At 50.8% G+C, this 17,767-nt stretch overlaps 1 protein-coding gene across 8 annotated transcripts in view; it reads left to right on the plus strand.

The window, feature by feature from the left end:
• PHGDH (phosphoglycerate dehydrogenase) overlaps positions 1-17,263 on the plus strand; it is a 32,282-nt gene extending 15,019 nt beyond the window's left edge. For 7 of the 8 annotated variants that reach the window (XM_011541226.3, NM_006623.4, XM_011541227.3 and 4 more), the window contains 8 exons: positions 52-150; positions 7,682-7,814; positions 8,343-8,491; positions 10,162-10,314; positions 13,434-13,566; positions 14,815-14,945; positions 15,855-16,092; positions 16,934-17,263. In XM_011541226.3, the coding sequence (XP_011539528.1) occupies positions 52-150; positions 7,682-7,814; positions 8,343-8,491; positions 10,162-10,314; positions 13,434-13,566; positions 14,815-14,945; positions 15,855-16,092; positions 16,934-17,088 (1,191 nt within the window). In that variant the 3' untranslated portion in view covers positions 17,089-17,263. Of the gene's footprint in view, positions 1-51; positions 2,682-2,987; positions 3,448-7,681; positions 7,815-8,342; positions 8,492-10,161; positions 10,315-13,433; positions 13,567-14,814; positions 14,946-15,854; positions 16,093-16,933 lie in introns of those variants that run through there. The other variant, XR_007058634.1, reaches the window with a different exon arrangement.

Consider the following 17,767-nt stretch of genomic DNA (forward strand, 5'->3'; position numbering starts at 1 on the left):
CCACTCATGTTGCTGACTTCAGCTTCTTTCCTTTTGCCTGTTTGGTTGCAGTTCATGGGAACAGAGCTGAATGGAAAGACCCTGGGAATTCTTGGCCTGGGCAGGATTGGGAGAGAGGTAGCTACCCGGATGCAGTCCTTTGGGATGAAGGTAAGATGTTGCTGGAACCCTGTGATGTGGGACTTTCTGCAGCAATTTTGGGAAAGGCAGCATGTCTGGGCAGAAGCCAGAAGCTTTGTTCTAGGAGGGTCTGACCCTCTCTTGGAGCCCCCATCTAAATAAGTGTTAAAGTCAAGGAGGGAGAGAACACTGGCCTGCTGATCTGGACTCAAAAGCTGGAAATACTTGGTGGGGGTCCTTTAGCTCTCTGGTGAGTGAATAGCCCTGAGTCCCAGTGAACCAGGTGTTGATGGCTCTTTTGAGACTTTGGTTCCTGTCTTCTTAGTTTAAAAGAATTTAAACAAGAGACACGGTGCAGCATTGAGGAGTTTATTGCAAAGGAAAAAGAATATTTTGAAAGTTAAGTGCAGAGTAGACAGTACACCTCGGGAGAGAGAGAATTCAGGGTGGGCTGCTCATAAGAGTGAGGCAGTGTTGGCCGGGCGCGGTGGCTCACGCCTGTAATCCAGCACTTTGGGAGGCCGAGGCAGGCAGATCATGAGGTCAGGAGATCAAGACCATCCTGGATAACATGGTGAAACCGCATCGCTACTAAAAAAAAAAAAAAAAAAATTAGCCGGGCGTGGTGGCGGGCGCCTGTAGTCCCAGCTACTTGGGAGGCTGAGGCAGGAGAATGGCGTGAACCCGGGAGGCGGAGCTTGCAGTGAGCCGAGATCATGCCACTGCACTCCAGCCTGGGCGACAGAGCGAGACTCCGTCTTAAAAAACAGAAACAAAAACAAAAACGAATGAGGCAGTGTTGATTATTGCTGGAGAAACTCCCTTTATAGGAGTTTTACATGATTATTCATAAGGAGGTGGGAAGAGCTGTTACTAGTAAGCATGTTTTGGGTGGTCCTCTGGGTGCACATGAGTAGTAGCTGTACATTCTTGTTCATTTGGCACATGTCTTATTAGCATCTTAAATCTCCACCCAGGAGTGTGTTTTTTACTATTATAATGAGCCAGGGGGTCAGTTTGAGGACAGGAAAAATCAAAGTGCACAGGCTGTCTAGATGGGAAGTTCCCTACTGAAGATAGCTTTGCTTGAATGAGCTCAGTTAGAATATGAATACCGAGGCTTATTGTGTTGACTATAGGATCACCAAGGTTGCTGCACTTCCTTGATTACCTATCCTGCCTCACAGGGAGGGTGCTTGTGTCCTGCCCATTCTTTCTTTCCTTCCTGCTTTTGTTTTGTCTGCTTTCCTGTGATAATTTAGAAAACAGGAACAAGTTTATGGCCTCACAGTAGAGCCTTACATCCATTGTCCATCTGTCCTTCCAGTTTCCCTCCATATTTCAGAAAAGATTTAAAAGTGCTTGTATGTACACTATGATATGATTGTAGAGCCTATGGTGGCTGGAAGACCTCACACCGGTCTCAGAAATCACACCTAACTCCTGTCTTCCCCCAGGTCTCTGCCTTTTCCTACTCTGGGAGCTCAGTAGGCTTCTGGCTACTCCCTTAGCCTGATTGCAACCCTCTGGTTGCCATCAGTAGCAGTGCCACCCACTTGGGCTAATCCAGGAGACCTTGCAAATGAGAGAGGCAATTCAGCTAAGAGAGGGGATCTGCAGGGCTTCCCAGATAGGCCAAAGAGATGAACCCACTAAGGCTACTATGGGACATCTCTCTGTTCACTTTCTGTTTTAGGGAATTACAGGGATTATGGGGTCAAACTGCAGCCAGGAAGTCTTTAAACATTAGGAGATCAGTTTTGACAACCAGATCATGTCAAATCTAGAAAAGTTTACATAGAGCTGCTATGGAACTCTCCCTTTTTCTACATCCCTCCTACCTTCTTAGAGTTAGAAGGGATCTTAATAGATTAACCCTTAATTTTACATTGACATCTAGAATTTGTAAGCTTATGCCTAAGGACTCATAGCAAATGGACAGTAGCCTAGAGCCTGGTGAGCATCCCATTGTACACATTGAATATTATCCTCTCCCTCCTGCCTCCACTCCCCATCTTATTTATTTAAGTCAGCCAGATATCTTTCCTAAGCCTCTGCACTGAGAAGGGCCAGGTGTATTCTTGATCCCTGGACTCCTGAGAGAGGCAGATGTAGCCCAGCAGGATCATTGATCATGTAAACAAACCACAGCCTTGCCCTCTGTGCAGGGATGGTGGGATGCCATAAGCCACAAAGAGCACTCCCTCCTCCATCCTCTTTTGTAAGGGATCAAGGGTCAAGGTTTAGTCCATGGAGAATTTTGATATAAAAGGCAGAGGTCAGGAGTTAAGTAAAACTAAGAGCACTCATAGCCAAATAGGTGAGCATTTCATTGATGAAGCAGTAACTGGGAGACAGGCTCCAGACCAGTGGCCGTTCCAAGGCTCCTGCCCCCTTCCCCAGGGGGTCCTCTTCCCCATGACTCCCCTTCCCCAGGCTTCCTTCTCCGTGGCACCACTACACATCAATATTCCTGGCAATATTCTTCATCATGGAGACTTCGGCAGCGACTTCAACCAGATGAAAAGCCCCACCTCATTCCTGAATGATTGAGGTGCTAGGTAAGCTTGTCTGTCCATCTGGCACTGCCCAACTCTCTACCCTGGGATGCTTCCAAGAGGTGCATGGGTACCTGGGACCTTGAGCATCAGTGTCAGGAAATGGCTGACACCTCTCGTGCATGTGTTTGATTGAAAGAGATGTCTACGGCCTGCTCATTTCAGTGTTAATCTGTGCCTCAGAGCAGGTCACCCACTGAATGTTTTATTCCCATTCCCAGCATGGTGTGGAGGGTGCCAGTGCCTTCACTTTGCATTTCTTCTGTCCAGATGTCTCTGGAGGGTCATTCTTAACTGTCTTGCTTCCAGAACATGCTCTTTGTAAACCCCTGAAACATGGCTTGGATCATTCCGTCTCCCACCTCAGCCCCTCCGGAGCTGCCTGGACCTCATCATTCCGGAGAGTCTAAGTGGCCTCTTCTCGTGCTCAGCTGCTTACCTCAACCACGTCATTATCATACTTTTGAGTCTGGATGAATTTTGTCTTAGGGCGGAGAGCTCATCAGTTCTACCGGTCTTGGAGAACAAGATTTTCTAAAGGGAAAGGAAGATTCTTGAACATATTGTGAAAGAGATGTATAAGCACCCAGACAGGAAATGAGGATAAGTGTTTATTAAACACAAGTTATTTCATACTAGCCTCATCCTCTTTTTGGAAACCATTATTAAACTGGTAGAGTATGGAAATCCCTAGATGTCAGATACCCGGACTATTTAAAGTTATGTTTTAATCATGTAATAAAGGAATGCATTCTCATATAAATTAAAACTTGGACAAGGCTATACTTGATTACCATCTGAACCCTAGTCTCCTCACGGTAAACATCAGTTTAGCATGTCATCCGAGACTTTTCTATGCATTTGCACAGAATGCATACAGTTCCATGCCTGTGGATGGATTCTTTGGCTGCAAACAATAGAATATTGTTTGTGATGTTAAGAAAAAAACATGTTTATCTCAGAACAACTAAATCTAGCATATTTTTAAACAGTTGTGTGGAATTTTATTGTGCAGATAAATTGCTTTTTATTTGGCCATTCTCTCAATGATGGGTATTTAGATTGTGTATAGATATGGACTTTGGTAAGACATCTTTCATGATTCCCTCGGGGTTCGGATGGAGCCCCTTGAGCTTGGTGCTATTGAAGGGATTAGTGCTTGGTGCTGTTGTGGAATGGGCCACCTCAGTTTGGAGGGAGATAGTATGCAATAGTGCTCCACCTTGCCCACCATTCTCATCAACAGCCTGAACCATGTGTCATTTGTGGATGGCAGGAAGCAAGGAGAGGTAGTTAATACTTAAGGGTGCAGAATCAGGTCCAAAAAGACATATGAAGGCTAGAATGGTTGGGCACCCTCACAGGAAATTTAGCTAGAATACATTTCTGCACCCTACTTGTGGGTCCAAAAAGCAGCTAGACAAGTTTTAGATGTAGAAGCATTTGTCAAAAGCTTTTCTGGGGGAGCAGGGCTTTGGTTTACAAAAGAGCAGTGTGGTTGTCAGTGGCATAGCTGATAGAAAAGGTAACCTGACATTTGGCAGCATTAAAAGAAGTATGGCTTCCGGAGCAAGGGAGGTGACATTCCTCACACTGTGGCCTGACCTGCAGCCTACCTGTGGTCTGAGTCATACAGGTCTTAACGCTCTATACTGTTGTGTCTGCGAGAGACTTTTTCTCAATAGTGTTGCTGAATGACAGGTCGTGACCTCAGAGACTCAGCTCATTCATGCTGGTGTGTTCCTTAGAATGTGTTAAGAGGCACAAACCAATCAAGAAGCGAGCCTTGTGCTTTATGATCAAGGTTTTCCTTGAGGGAACAGACAAGCATCTCTTAACAGTTTCTTTGTAGCCAGCGTTGTGATGAATCCAACTTTAGCCCAGAGGGTTGGATGTTGAACCTGAGGCACCAGTTATCACCGATTTTTTCAGGTCCAGCTAATGTTTGCTGAGGTCTACTGTGTCGGTTCCTGTGCTTGAAATGACTCTGCAGGGTCAGAATTATTATCCCAGGTTTACAGATAAGGAAACTGAGGCCCAGGAAGGTTCTATGATATGCTGAAGATAATGCAACTATGAACTGGTGAATTTCGGCTCAGCCTTCCAGGCTGGCATTCTTTGCCCAGTACCACTTAACTTTATTCATGATCCATTTTAGGTAAACAGTCCCTGTGCCATGCCGGTATGCTTAGCTATTCCAAAGACAGATACTCTCCAGGATGGGCAGCTCCTATCTCAGTGTGTTACCTGGAATGCTTACTGCCCAGAGCAGTGATTCTCAAACTCAAGAGCCTCGGGTTCTGGCAAGGTGCCTTAGGGACACAGGTGGGAGCAAGGAGGGGCCCAGGGAGACAGCAGGTGGTGGCACATTGAGCCTTTACCTCTGCAGCTTTGAATTGACCTATTTTTATATTTGGGTCTCTGTTTAAGATTTCATTGCCGTGGTAGGGAGAGTTCCAATGCTAAACTAAAAATTCAGCTGTGGGGCAGAGAGAGCACGTGACGGTGAGGGTTCTTCTTCAGAGCCTCTTTAACTGGGAGGCCTCCTTGCTCTCCTCTTTGCTCTGCTGAGCCAGCAAGGCCCTGCAGCCAGCATACCAGCCTCTCAGGGCTGTCTTCTGTGACCTCAGGCAGGTAGGAGCCACCAGCTGCCCTGGAGTCCTGCTTAGAAAGTGAGGCTTCCTCTGTTGCCTCAACATCAGGAGTCTGCCCTGGGGCTGGGATTGAGGTGAGGGAACCCCTTCATGTTTCTCCCCAAGGCTTCTCTCCGGGAGTAGTCTTTGAATGGTGGGTACCCAGAGGTGCTCCAATGTCTGTATATTAGGACATCTGACCCTTTCCAGGACACACCAGGACCCTGACAGGCACGTGTGTCCTGGGCCTGTTGTCACCCTTTCCATCCCCTCAGTGTTGTCTCCTAGTGTCGGAACCCCAACCCCCAGCTGAGTTCAGCTCTTCTCTGCCCTGGTTATCTCAAATGGAAAATGAGAACAGAGGTTTGCTCAGCCAGATTCCTTCCCTGCAGTCATCTGCAGATAAATGAGATACTCTCTGTGAAAGAAGGAAGCTGAGTCAGTGCTTCGCTCACCCCTGAGGAAGATGCTCACCTGCTCCTCTCCCCAACCCCCTCCCTCCAGCCCCAGTCACCTGTCTGTGGAGGGGGCCAGGTTCAGCCTGCAGGGTCCTTCCTCCTGCCAGCCCCCAGGTTGTTCTTGGCTCCTGAGCATGGAGTAGACGTCAGTCAGGCTGGACCTTGTGATCTCTATTGGTGTTCCCTTCCTCTCCCCACTCCATATGAGAAAAAAAAATACATCTGGATTAGAGATGAACAGGGCCATTGTTCTGGCCGGCCTCAGGGCCAGCAGACGAAGAAGACTTGTGACAACGATGGCAGGGATCCCATCTCCTCGCCTGGACACTTTCTCCTCCCCACCAGAAATGAGTAGGTTACAGCCGAGGGGAGCAGCAGTGTCTGAAAAAGACCACCAGCGTTCTGAGCTGGAGGTTCTTATAGGGCGTGGGAGAGGCAGCATCTTTCCCCAAAACCTGCCTGATGGTTGGTGTGGGGCCACTTGGCTTTCCTTATTCCACAAGGCTAATGATGAAAAAAGGGATCCAGAGGCTTCACCTTAATCATAACCATTTTAGCTTCTGCCCTAGAATTACTGAATTTGAAGTCCTCTTTCCTATTACGTTCTTTTTTATTTTGTTTTATTTTTTTTTTTTTTTCTGAGACATCTTGTTCTGTCACCCAGGCTGGAGTGCAGTGGCACAATCTTGGCTCACTGCAGCCTCAACCTCCTAGGCCCAAGTGATCCTCCTGCCTCAGCCTTCTGGGTGGCACAGGTGCATGCCACCAAACTTGGCTAGTTTTTTAAATTTTTTGTAGGGGGGGGGGTCTGACTATGTTTCTCCAGCTAGTCTCTGACTCCTGGGGTCAAATGATCCTCCTGCCTCAGCCTCCCAAAGTGCTGGGATTATAGGTGTGAGCAATGGCACCCATCTTTCCCATTATATTCTAAAGTATCTATACTGTATCCCTAATTTCAAAAGTAATTTATGAATAATGTAGTAGAAAACTTGAAAGCACAGGAAAGCAAAAAGGAGAAAAATAATTCCACTACCCAGAGACAACCGCTGTTAAAGTACTATGCTGTGTATTCTTTGTTTTTGTCTAATCCTGGGCTCACTCTTTACATTCTGTCTCGGGGTTAAGGGGGATTTCTCTTCAAATAATTCCCAGTGATTGAATGTGAGAGTGAGAGATGGCTGCAATCATCTGCCCAGCTCCTTTATTTAGGGTTGAGGACCCAGGTCCAGGGGAACTGACCTGTACCTTTCCACACAGTGGGCAGTGACTGGGGGAGGACACAGGTCAGGCTTCCTGATTTAGAGGGCATGCAGTCTTGCTCCCACTCTGGGTCCTGCCTTGTACCCCTGTTGTCCTCCTCCTTCGCTTCTGCTCACTCTGTTTTAGTACCTGATGCACCTGTTTCCTGGACTGGACCCTCCAGCTGCAGCTGCCATTTCTCCTTCTCCCTTTCCTGGCTGTCCGCTCCCTACATGACTGCCCTCCCTCCCTCAGGACTCCCTGCTTTCTAAGGACTTCCAAGCTCCACCTTGTCCAGACCTATATGAGCTATTGTTGCATCTGTGTGTGATCACAGCATGGAGGCAGACGCACCTTCTTTTGAGCTCTGGCTGTGCCCCTCCTCATTGTGGAAGCCCTGCTTCCCTCAGCTCTCAAGCAGACAAGAACAGTCCCAGCATCATTGTGTGGTCATGAGAATTAATTAAGCTGATCATGGTACTTAGTATATGGTAAATAGTACTTAGTATGTGGAACATGGTACTTAGTGTATGGTAAATTAACTGGAGAATTAATTAAGCTGAGCATGGTAGTTAGTATATGGTAAATGCTCAAAAAATGTTTGCCATTCTTAATAATAACAATACTAATAATTAAGAATGACACTTCCTCCCTCTCTCTTGCTTCCAACCAGACTATAGGGTATGACCCCATCATTTCCCCAGAGGTCTCGGCCTCCTTTGGTGTTCAGCAGCTGCCCCTGGAGGAGATCTGGCCTCTCTGTGATTTCATCACTGTGCACACTCCTCTCCTGCCCTCCACGACAGGTAGGTGTGTCCTTACATTGTGGATTGGTCACAGAAGCCACAGACCAGTTAACAAATGGGCCCTCCATCTGGGCCTTCCCCAGACAGTGGTAACCAGCTGTGGGGAGAGGTCCACCTGGGTCCTGCAGAGGCTGGTGTTTTGTTAGACACCCCTACGTTGGATAGGGGAGGGTGAGCCAGCTAGAAGTGCTTGGGGTCTAGGTAAGCTGGGCACAGGGACAACCAGTGACCCCCATGGATGCTTTCTGCAGCCCCTGCAGGGCTTTCTGATTCCCAGACCCACTTGAAACAGTAATATCTCAAGAATTTCTAAGATGTTTCTAAACTGAGTCTGGCCCAGATCCATAACAGGGACTCCTGCCCCAGAGCATCTGAGGAGGAAGAGATGAGAGCAAAGAGGCTGCCGTCCAGCAGGAGAGAGGCTCTGGGAAAGAGCTGGCTCAAGGAAAGGGAAGACCTCTGGAAGCCAGGGATGAGCGTGGGGATCCTGGTGCTGCCCCAGCAGGAAGATGCTTCGCTTTCTTCCAGGCTTGCTGAATGACAACACCTTTGCCCAGTGCAAGAAGGGGGTGCGTGTGGTGAACTGTGCCCGTGGAGGGATCGTGGACGAAGGCGCCCTGCTCCGGGCCCTGCAGTCTGGCCAGTGTGCCGGGGCTGCACTGGACGTGTTTACGGAAGTAAGTGCCTGGCAGCCTCAGCGTCAGGAGGACGGGAGAGATAGGGAGCAGAGAGGCCCATGGCAGGGAAAGCCTGGCGTTTTACAGAAAGCCTCTAGCTTATTGTCTCTTTCATCCATGGTAAAAGGAGAAAACTGTGTTGCCAAAAACACACCTTTGTGGTTTGAGGAGTCCTTGCGGAGCCTGGTATGGAGGCAGCTATGTGGTTTTCTGCAAAACTCGGGCTTTAAAGGGGACCCAGTTCCTGGTTCCGGGCTTCTCAGACTGCTAACATATTGACAAAGATAAAGCCACAAATCAGTTCTGAAGTTGAGGGTCTGGAGCAGGAAGAGAGGGGGCTTTAGTGTATAGTTGAGGGACCCTGATGGAAATGCAGTCCCATTGCCAAGAAAATGTCCTTTTCAGTGTCCATGGGCATTCTTTTTCCCTTCTTCTCTTGCTGGGTGGACAGAAGCCCGAGGATACTGGCAGTATTCCCTCAGGGTCCTCGGGGTGGGCTGCTTTCCCAGCTGGAGCAGAGGCTCAGCCTCACACCAGATCCAGTAGGGAAGAGTGCATTTGCACTCGAATCCTTTTGGCTCCTCTCCTGAAAGATCCTGTCCCCAACATTGGAGCTTCCCCTGGTGAGGAAGGGGAAAGGACATGGACTTTGGATTAGGTAGTTGTGGTTCGCAGGTTACTAGCTGTGTGTCCTTGGAAGGTCACTGGCCCTCTCTGAGCCCCTGTAGCACTCACTGTGTACTCCCAGCCCAGGGCACACAGTGCCTTTTGGTTTGTAACCTTGGTCATCTTTCTCAGCTCTTAGATCATAAGCTCCCTGAAGGCAGGGCAAGCCTTGTCCATCTTTGTATCACCATCCTCCCTAACACAGCACCTTCTCCTGCTCTCTTCAGCATCCTTGAACCACTTGCTGGTGGTACTTACATGGTTACATGTGGCCGGGACTCACAGGATTACATGGTTACATGTGGCCAGGACTCACAGGGTTAAATGGTCAAAATTCAATGGGACCAACAGAGCCCTGAGGAGAATGGCCGGAAGATGCCTAAATAACATACCCAAGGGCAATCTTCTCAGTGAGCAGAAGGGTGGAAAAGACACTGGAGGGTGGGGTGGAGGTGCCACAGATGGGCAACCTGTCCTGATGAGAGCCAAGATGCAGTTACCTGCGTGGAGTGTCTTGGAAGAGCAGGACACTGTGCTAAAAGTCCAGCAAGGCACATCGACAGCAAGTGCTGCATGGATGCAGGGGGGTGAGTTTCGGGGAAAAGCCCAGTAACAACAACAACAGTAGCTCCTATTGGTCAAGGGCCTCCCATGTTAAAGGTGCATAATCCCCACAGTAATGTTATGAGGGAGATAGGATCAACCCATTTCACAGATAAAGAAACTGAGGCTTAGATCAAGGTTCACCCCCAAGGCACCTAGGTGGTTAAGTGGTGAAGGTGAGATTTGAATCTGGTTCACACTTTGTGCTGTGTCCACTCTGCTGAGATGGAACATTCATGTGGAAGCCCATTATTGAGTCCAGTGACCACCCTGACAAAATAGAAGTGGAAGGCACCAGAACTCCTGACTGCCTTCCCTCCAACTTTCCTGTTGCCTGGGGTGGCCCAAGAGGGTGTGGCCAGTCCATGGCAGCCAACTTAGAGGTATCTCTTTCTGGGCAGGAGCCGCCACGGGACCGGGCCTTGGTGGACCATGAGAATGTCATCAGCTGTCCCCACCTGGGTGCCAGCACCAAGGAGGCTCAGAGCCGCTGTGGGGAGGAAATTGCTGTTCAGTTCGTGGACATGGTGAAGGGGAAATCTCTCACGGGGGTTGTAAGTATCACCACCTGGGGCTGGGGGCCAGGAGTCAGAGGGAGGAGAGGAAGGAAGGCATCTTGTAGGGGCTGGTGGCAGCGTGGGTGAATAGATTCAGCCCTGGGAGCTGAAGATAAGGGAAATCTGCTTGAGTCAGCACTCTCCGGAGCAGGTGGGCGGGAGCCTCCCGTCTCCAGCCTTGATAGCAGAGGCCTTGGCAGCAGAGAGCCCGGCTCAGGCCTGTTATATCGTAGTCTTGCTGCAGAGATTGTGGCCCTTCCCAGGCCCAGCCTCTAGAGAAAGGCTCCTTTGTTCTCCACATGCCGTGGGAGTGAAGGAGTGCTGCTTGGGTGCCAGCTGGACGCAGCCGCAGCAGGTGGGGATGTGGTTGGGGACGGCCATGTAGAAATTTGCACCCTGTAAGCTCCCCAGACCCTGCCTTGACAGCCTGCCCTACCTACTCCCAAATGAGCCCTCTGTGCTGGCTGACCCCCTTGCTTTCCCCAAATCAAGGCATAAGACCCCCACTTCTTGTCTTTGCTTCCATCAAGCCCTTCCTGGCATGTGCGTCTCCTACGAGCTTAACCTGACTTACACTTCAAGTCCTGTCTCATTCATTCAGTCTGTGGATATTCCTTAAGTTTCACTGGGTACCAGACATTGTCATAGCTCTTGGGAGACACGGGTGCATGAGGGAGGCATAGCTCTCCTTCCAGGGGCTTGCTGCCTCCTTCTGAAGTCTTGCTTGGCCTTTCCAGCCCCTTCTCAATTCTGAGAACCATGTTCTTTCTTGTTATTAAGGTTCAGTTCCATGGGGTGTTTTTTTTTTTCCCTAATCTTTCTACTTAACCTAAGTTCTAAGTTCCCTGAGGACAAAAAAACATGACTTAAGCCTCTCTGCAGCTTGTGTGGGTGGGCCCAGGCCATGGAGTCAAAGGGTCAGGAAAATGGGCTGGGTGTTCTTGGTTGTCCTGGCTGACCCTCAGCTGGGTGATTTTCGCTGGTGAGGACAGCACTGTGGCAGGAGAGACGGGGATTTTGGTTCTGCCCTCCCACCTCTGGATTGAGAGCCCAGCCCTCCAGGCCTCTCTGCCCCCTCCATCCTGAGGAAAGAAGGGTGCCTCCTGCTGCCCAGCAGCCCCACACAGTCCATGGAAGTCAGCAGGGCTATGACCAGCAGCATGCGAGGAGGTCAGCAGAGACTCTGACCTGTCTGCATCCTCTGTCCTCTATGCTGTGTGGGCTCCTCAGGGCAGAGCACACTTCACTCATCTTGCACCTGGTCGGCCTCTGAGCAGGTTCGTTCCTCCCAGGAGATGCTGCTCGTTTCCCAGGCTGAGGTTTGAGCTCATCACCATTGCCAGCCAATCTGGGCTTCAGGGTTTTACCCTTTCAGCCTTCTCAGAAAGCAGCTGTCTGCCTTCCCCATCGCAGCCTTGCAATTTATTGCCATTACCATTAGGTAGCAGTGACATTCCAGAGCTTTTCCTGAAAGGGACTCCTGAATATAAGCTCTGGCAGAGCGAGGGGGTGGGGGAGGGAGGGGGACCTTGCAGAGAGATGGGGAGGAGGGGGTGAGAGGTGTATGGGCTCTGCCCTGCTGGGTGTATCTGCTGCAGGACACAGAGTTCCATCAAATGGACCACACAGTGTCCCCATCTTAGGAGGTGAAACCTCTTGGTCAAAATAACTACCCTTAGCAAATTGAACTGTTCACCCACATCAGCAAATAGTCTTAGAGTAGCCATTTGGAAAAAGAGACATTTTTGTCACATAAGAAATATATTTTCCTAATTCTTCCCTGCATTTTCCCCAGTTCAATTCTGTTCTAACCTCAGACACAGAATAACATTAGGGTCAGGTTGGTGTCCCAAAGTGCCTGACTCCTCCCTGGAATTCTCCCACCTGTCCACCAGGGAAGACTGAGAATCCTCCTTTTACTTGGGAGCCCTGTGATGGACACCTCCCCGGGCTTGGGCTCTGCAGGCCCACACAGAGGACAGAGAGATGTGCCGAGGTGCCTGCGTTATGGGCCCTCTTAGTTGGACTTTCCTCTGCTGCTGCAGGCCCTCAGCCCCGGCAGTGGCAGCATGGTGCTCCAGATCTCCTCCCAGCAGCTAGCTGCTCCACCCCACCACCCTTCTTGTCTGTGACTCCTTGGAGAGGATCCAGGAGCCATGCAGCAAGAAGCCTGCAGACCTGTCACCTCCCACACTGGAGAGGCTCCCGTGAAGCCCGGCCTCAGCAGTCATTTCCCATACCATGATTCTTTCTCTGTTTAAAAAAAAAAAAATTCTTCCAATGATATCTTTATGAAAACAGAAAGAGAAGCATCTGTGTTTCCTTCTAATTACATCTTGTAGCTGCCTGTTTGATTTGCATCTTTCTAAGATGGTTGACTTTACAAGTTATCTCAATAAAAGTGGCCAGATGCCTAACTCAGAACCAGAGCATTTTGAACCACAAAATGGAATTGAAATTTTGGCCCAGAACAAGCTGGTTCTGTTATCAGGCCCCTGGGTGGGGCAGGGGGCAGCCAGCCAGGTCCTAGACATAACTTTTGGGGGATATGGGGCTTGTGTCCCCTCAGTGTCACAACATGCCTCACAGTGGACTTCGCATGCGTTGATATTTGAAGCACGATCATCAAAACTTTGTGATAATTGATCGTAGTGTTTAGTAACAATGTAAACACTTAAAAAAATTCAAGATAGAAAATAAAAATGAAGGCAAGTTGGGACTGCCAGAGAAGACCCGTCACTCCTCATCCAAGTTATCTGCGACTCCCATATGTTTTGTGTCAAAGACTCACCTTTATTGTGCTGTCCAATCCCTTCCCCAGTGCAGAAACAAGTCTCCCATGGAGGGGGCTGGGGCAGACACAGTTTGCTGAAAGGAGCAATTTTGAGTGGTTGTGGCATTCTGTGTCCATTTCTGGCTCCACAGCTTTCTTCATTTGTAGGAACAAGTCCTTGTCCTGTTGTTAGTGGCTGATGGAAGTTGTCACCCACCAGGCACCAAGGCAGGAGTGACCCTATACTGTCTTTCTTGTGGAGCTGGGTCTTGGCAGCCAGATCTTGATTCAGGATCTGCCATGCCTCTTCCTGACCACAGCCCCGCTCCTCCATCCTCTGCAGGTGAATGCCCAGGCCCTTACCAGTGCCTTCTCTCCACACACCAAGCCTTGGATTGGTCTGGCAGAAGCTCTGGGGACACTGATGCGAGCCTGGGCTGGGTCCCCCAAAGGGACCATCCAGGTGATAACACAGGGTGAGCTGGGGACCTTGCAGAGGGAGGGGGAGGAGGGGATGAGGGAGTGTGGGATCTGCCCTGCTGGGTGTATTTGCTGCAGGACACAGGGTTAGTGAGAGGCAGTGAGGGTGCCTTGGACCCTGCCCTGAGTATAGCTCCCTTACTACTGGTGGGAGGGTGGTAAAGGGAGGGGTTAAAAAAAGTCGTTGGAAAGATGTACTGAATATTCATAAATCATGTTTATGTAGCATTTTTAAGACCTAGATATTTTGGGTGCAAGAGAAACCTCTACGAGAGAGAGAGTTTCATGCGAGAGGTCGTAGGATGGCTGGAGGGAGGCCCTAATTAAGCAACAGGATGCTGGATTCTGGTTTTTGGCCCTGTCTCTTCCCTGCTGTGTGACTCTCCCTTCTGAGGCTTGGATTCTTCACTTGTAAAGTGAGAGTTAGGGGCAGATGAGCCAGGAGCGGTGAGGACACTTTGTGCTCTGTAACTTACTAAGGTGGTACCTTGGGCCGTCTGACAGCCCTCGAGAGAGAGTTTGCTCAGCCGTGGAGTGGGAATGAGAACAGTGCCCTCTGACCACCCCTCGGGCTGCTGAGTGGGCTGTGGCCACCTTTGCAGTGGATCCAGTACTGTGCGGATGTGGTTGAGTGACCAAGGAGGGCTCCAGTTTCCTTAACCCTGTAGACGTGTATCTTTCCCCATGGACTCTTGGGTGTCTCACAGTTGGGCAGAGATTGCAGGGAGAGGGCAGCTAAACCCTAGGCATTGACAATACCAGGGAAGGGCAGAGCCAGGGGGTCCCACTGGCCTGGGTGTCCAAGCGCCGAAGGAAACAAGGCAGGGAGCTGGGCAGCAGTTGCTTCGGTTACTTCTTTCTGCTTTGATTTCCTGAGGCTGGCAAGGCTCTGAGTGCCAGGAAGGGGTAAGAGTAGGGAATTTTCCTGTGTCCCCTGGGAGAATAATAGGTAGGCCAGGATGGCCAAGCCAGGTGCAGGGTTGGGGAGCGGAGTGGAGTTGAGCTGAGTTTTGGAGAGGAGTTTCTCAGGGTGGTTAAAACATCCTGGGTTTCCTGGCTTGGGCCCAGATTATGCCTCTTCTGAGCCCACTGAAGGGCGAGTGGACCTGCCTGGAGCAAGCTGCCTTTGGGGTCCCCAGGGCAGCGAGGAGCCCATAGTCCAGAGCTAGGTGCCAGTGGCTTCCTGCCCCCTCCTGTAGTGCTCAACAAACAGTGACCTCATGGTAGCTTCTCTCTGTCCCCAGGAACATCCCTGAAGAATGCTGGGAACTGCCTAAGCCCCGCAGTCATTGTCGGCCTCCTGAAAGAGGCTTCCAAGCAGGCGGATGTGAACTTGGTGAACGCTAAGCTGCTGGTGAAAGAGGCTGGCCTCAATGTGCGCCCCTCTCCCCCACGCTGCCTCCCCATCCCTGTCAGCACTAGTCTTCTCCCCCACATTTCCAGAGCCCGTTCTCTGAGCGGAGGCCTAGGTCCCAGCCTTGCATCGGCCTGTCTACCTGTGAGGGGTAGCTGCAGTTTCTTCAACTGCAAAATGAAGATACTGCCTGGCCCCGAGTGTTGCTAATGGCACTGCTTTGTGTATGAGTGCTGTGGGAATGGAGGCAGTAGAAGTGTCCCCATTTCACAGCCAAAGAAAATGACGAGCTAGTGTGTTTGACTCTGCCCGACATGGCTGCCAGGCCATGTTTGACTCTGCCTAACTCCCCTCAGGGCTCCTCATGCCGTAGCACCCGGGTTCTTGATTCACTTGCAAGCTCTAGGAGCCCTGCTGCCTTGCACGGCTTCCCGTTGGCGCCTTCCCCTCTGGTTCCCTGTTTAGATCAAAGTCTGTTTCAAAGCCTGTTGCTCAGCCAGTGGGAGCTGGCAGAAGGGATAGGCAGTAGAGCTGCCATGTCCTCACCCCTCTGCTCCCCTCCACTCCTGCATGCCAGTCATGCCACTGATGCCGTGCAGGAGGCTGTGTCAGAGCAGGAGGGGCCAGAGTGGAGTCTCCTCACAGCCCTGCCTCCCTGCTTTTCTTTCCTCCCTGTTTTCCTCCAAGCCTTCGCCTGTGCCTGGCAGATCTCTTTGCCCTCCCTTTAAGGAGATCATTGGCTGTTCCAGGAAGCTGATGCCGAAGGGCACACAGCTTGGCCCATTTGCCCTCTCCCTTCTGGTCCTGAATTACTGAGCACATTATCCAGGCTGGAGCCCTACATCCTACCAATGGGTGATTTGGCCAAGAGAGGAGGGTGGACGTGGTGCAGCCAGGAGGTGTAACAGTCACCTTGCCTTCTCCACACAGGTCACCACCTCCCACAGCCCTGCTGCACCAGGGGAGCAAGGCTTCGGGGAATGCCTCCTGGCCGTGGCCCTGGCAGGCGCCCCTTACCAGGCTGTGGGCTTGGTCCAAGGCACTACGCCTGTACTGCAGGGGCTCAATGGAGCTGTCTTCAGGCCAGAAGTGCCTCTCCGCAGGGACCTGCCCCTGCTCCTATTCCGGACTCAGACCTCTGACCCTGCAATGCTGCCTACCATGATTGGTGAGGAGGGCCCTGTAGGGCTGGCTGGTGTCCTTGAGGCTGGGGTGGGGTCTGCCCTGGAATTGAACTCTACCCACCTTCCTTTAGCCCCTCTTCATGTCCCAGGGTGTCTCTGGATCTGCACCATACAGAGGGTCTGATGCCAGTTTTCAGAACCTTCAGGGAGTGGATACTCAGTTCAAAGAGGGAAAGTGCCTTATCCAGGGTCACAGAGCAGCATGGCAGGGGTGGGGCCATAGCCTCTATTCCTGCCCAGCTGTGGATCCTCAGCTTGCCATGTTAGGTACACTGGACCAGCTTGTGGAGCCATAGCCCAGGAGCTCAGGGACATTGAGTGCAGGTTTCTTACTCCTACCTGCTGGCCCTGTGGCTGTCCCTGGTGGCCAGCCCAGCTGCAGCAAAACCTACAAAGCCTCCAGCCATGGTAGGCGTCTTGGACCTGCCCCAGTCAGCTGGGGCTTGGGCTGCTAGGGGTTTTGGCACACGTCCATGTTTGGCGGAGGGTGTGCCTTCAAACCCTGAAGGGCCTAATTTCACCATTCTTTCTGGCTGCCCAAGGGAACTTCCCTGCTTTTCTCCCTTGCTGTTGGCTGGATAAAACTGGCAATCAGAAAGTCAAGAGCTACAGCTGATGGTCATGGTGTTCCCAGAGAGTCAGGAATATCCATGGAAGCTGAGCAGATGCCCTGTTGCTCTCCCATCTCAGCTCTTTGATTCTGAGACCATCATCCGCTCATTGCACCTTTGATCACAAAAGCTTTGAACTTCTGATTCTGCTCCCAATCCCTCGCTCCTTTTTCCCCTATCCCCTGTGCCAACCAGGAGTTTCTTCTATTTCCAGGCCTCCTGGCAGAGGCAGGCGTGCGGCTGCTGTCCTACCAGACTTCACTGGTGTCAGATGGGGAGACCTGGCACGTCATGGGCATCTCCTCCTTGCTGCCCAGCCTGGAAGCGTGGAAGCAGCATGTGACTGAAGCCTTCCAGTTCCACTTCTAACCTTGGAGCTCACTGGTCCCTGCCTCTGGGGCTTTTCTGAAGAAACCCACCCACTGTGATCAATAGGGAGAGAAAATCCACATTCTTGGGCTGAACGCGGGCCTCTGACACTGCTTACACTGCACTCTGACCCTGTAGTACAGCAATAACCGTCTAATAAAGAGCCTACCCCCAACTCCTTCTGCACTTTTGTGTGGTCATTATCCTAAAGCGCCACCAGAGGGCGTCCAAAGGCAGACGTAGGGTTTGGTTTAGACTGCGGGAGCGGAGCGGGTGTGGGGGAAGATGGGGATGAGCAAATGGCTTGGTTGAGTTCTTTGAAGGTGATCCCTCTCTTGTCTGCCGAAGGTTACTCAGAGGCACTTTTACAGGAGCAAAGCTCAATGTATTTCACAGTGCTACGGTATTTCAGACCCCTTCCATCTGGGAATATACATGCACGTTAATAAGTAAGATTCAACACACAAGCCCAGCATTATGTACCAGGCACTGGGCTAGGTGCTTTACTTTAAGAGGAGAATTCAAACCTGACCCTTTTTCCATAGAAGTCTGGTGGGAGGGACAGAGCATGCAGAGGTGACTGGAAGCAGTGAGTGATGCTACAACAGAGGTGTATAGGAAATTCTCTAGAGTCCAAAGGAGGAAGTAATTTGAGCTGAGGATATTGGTGTCTCAGGAG

The sequence above is a fragment of the Homo sapiens genome, chromosome 1, assembly GCF_000001405.40.
Source record: "Homo sapiens chromosome 1, GRCh38.p14 Primary Assembly".
NCBI classification, from domain to species: Eukaryota; Metazoa; Chordata; class Mammalia; order Primates; family Hominidae; genus Homo; species Homo sapiens.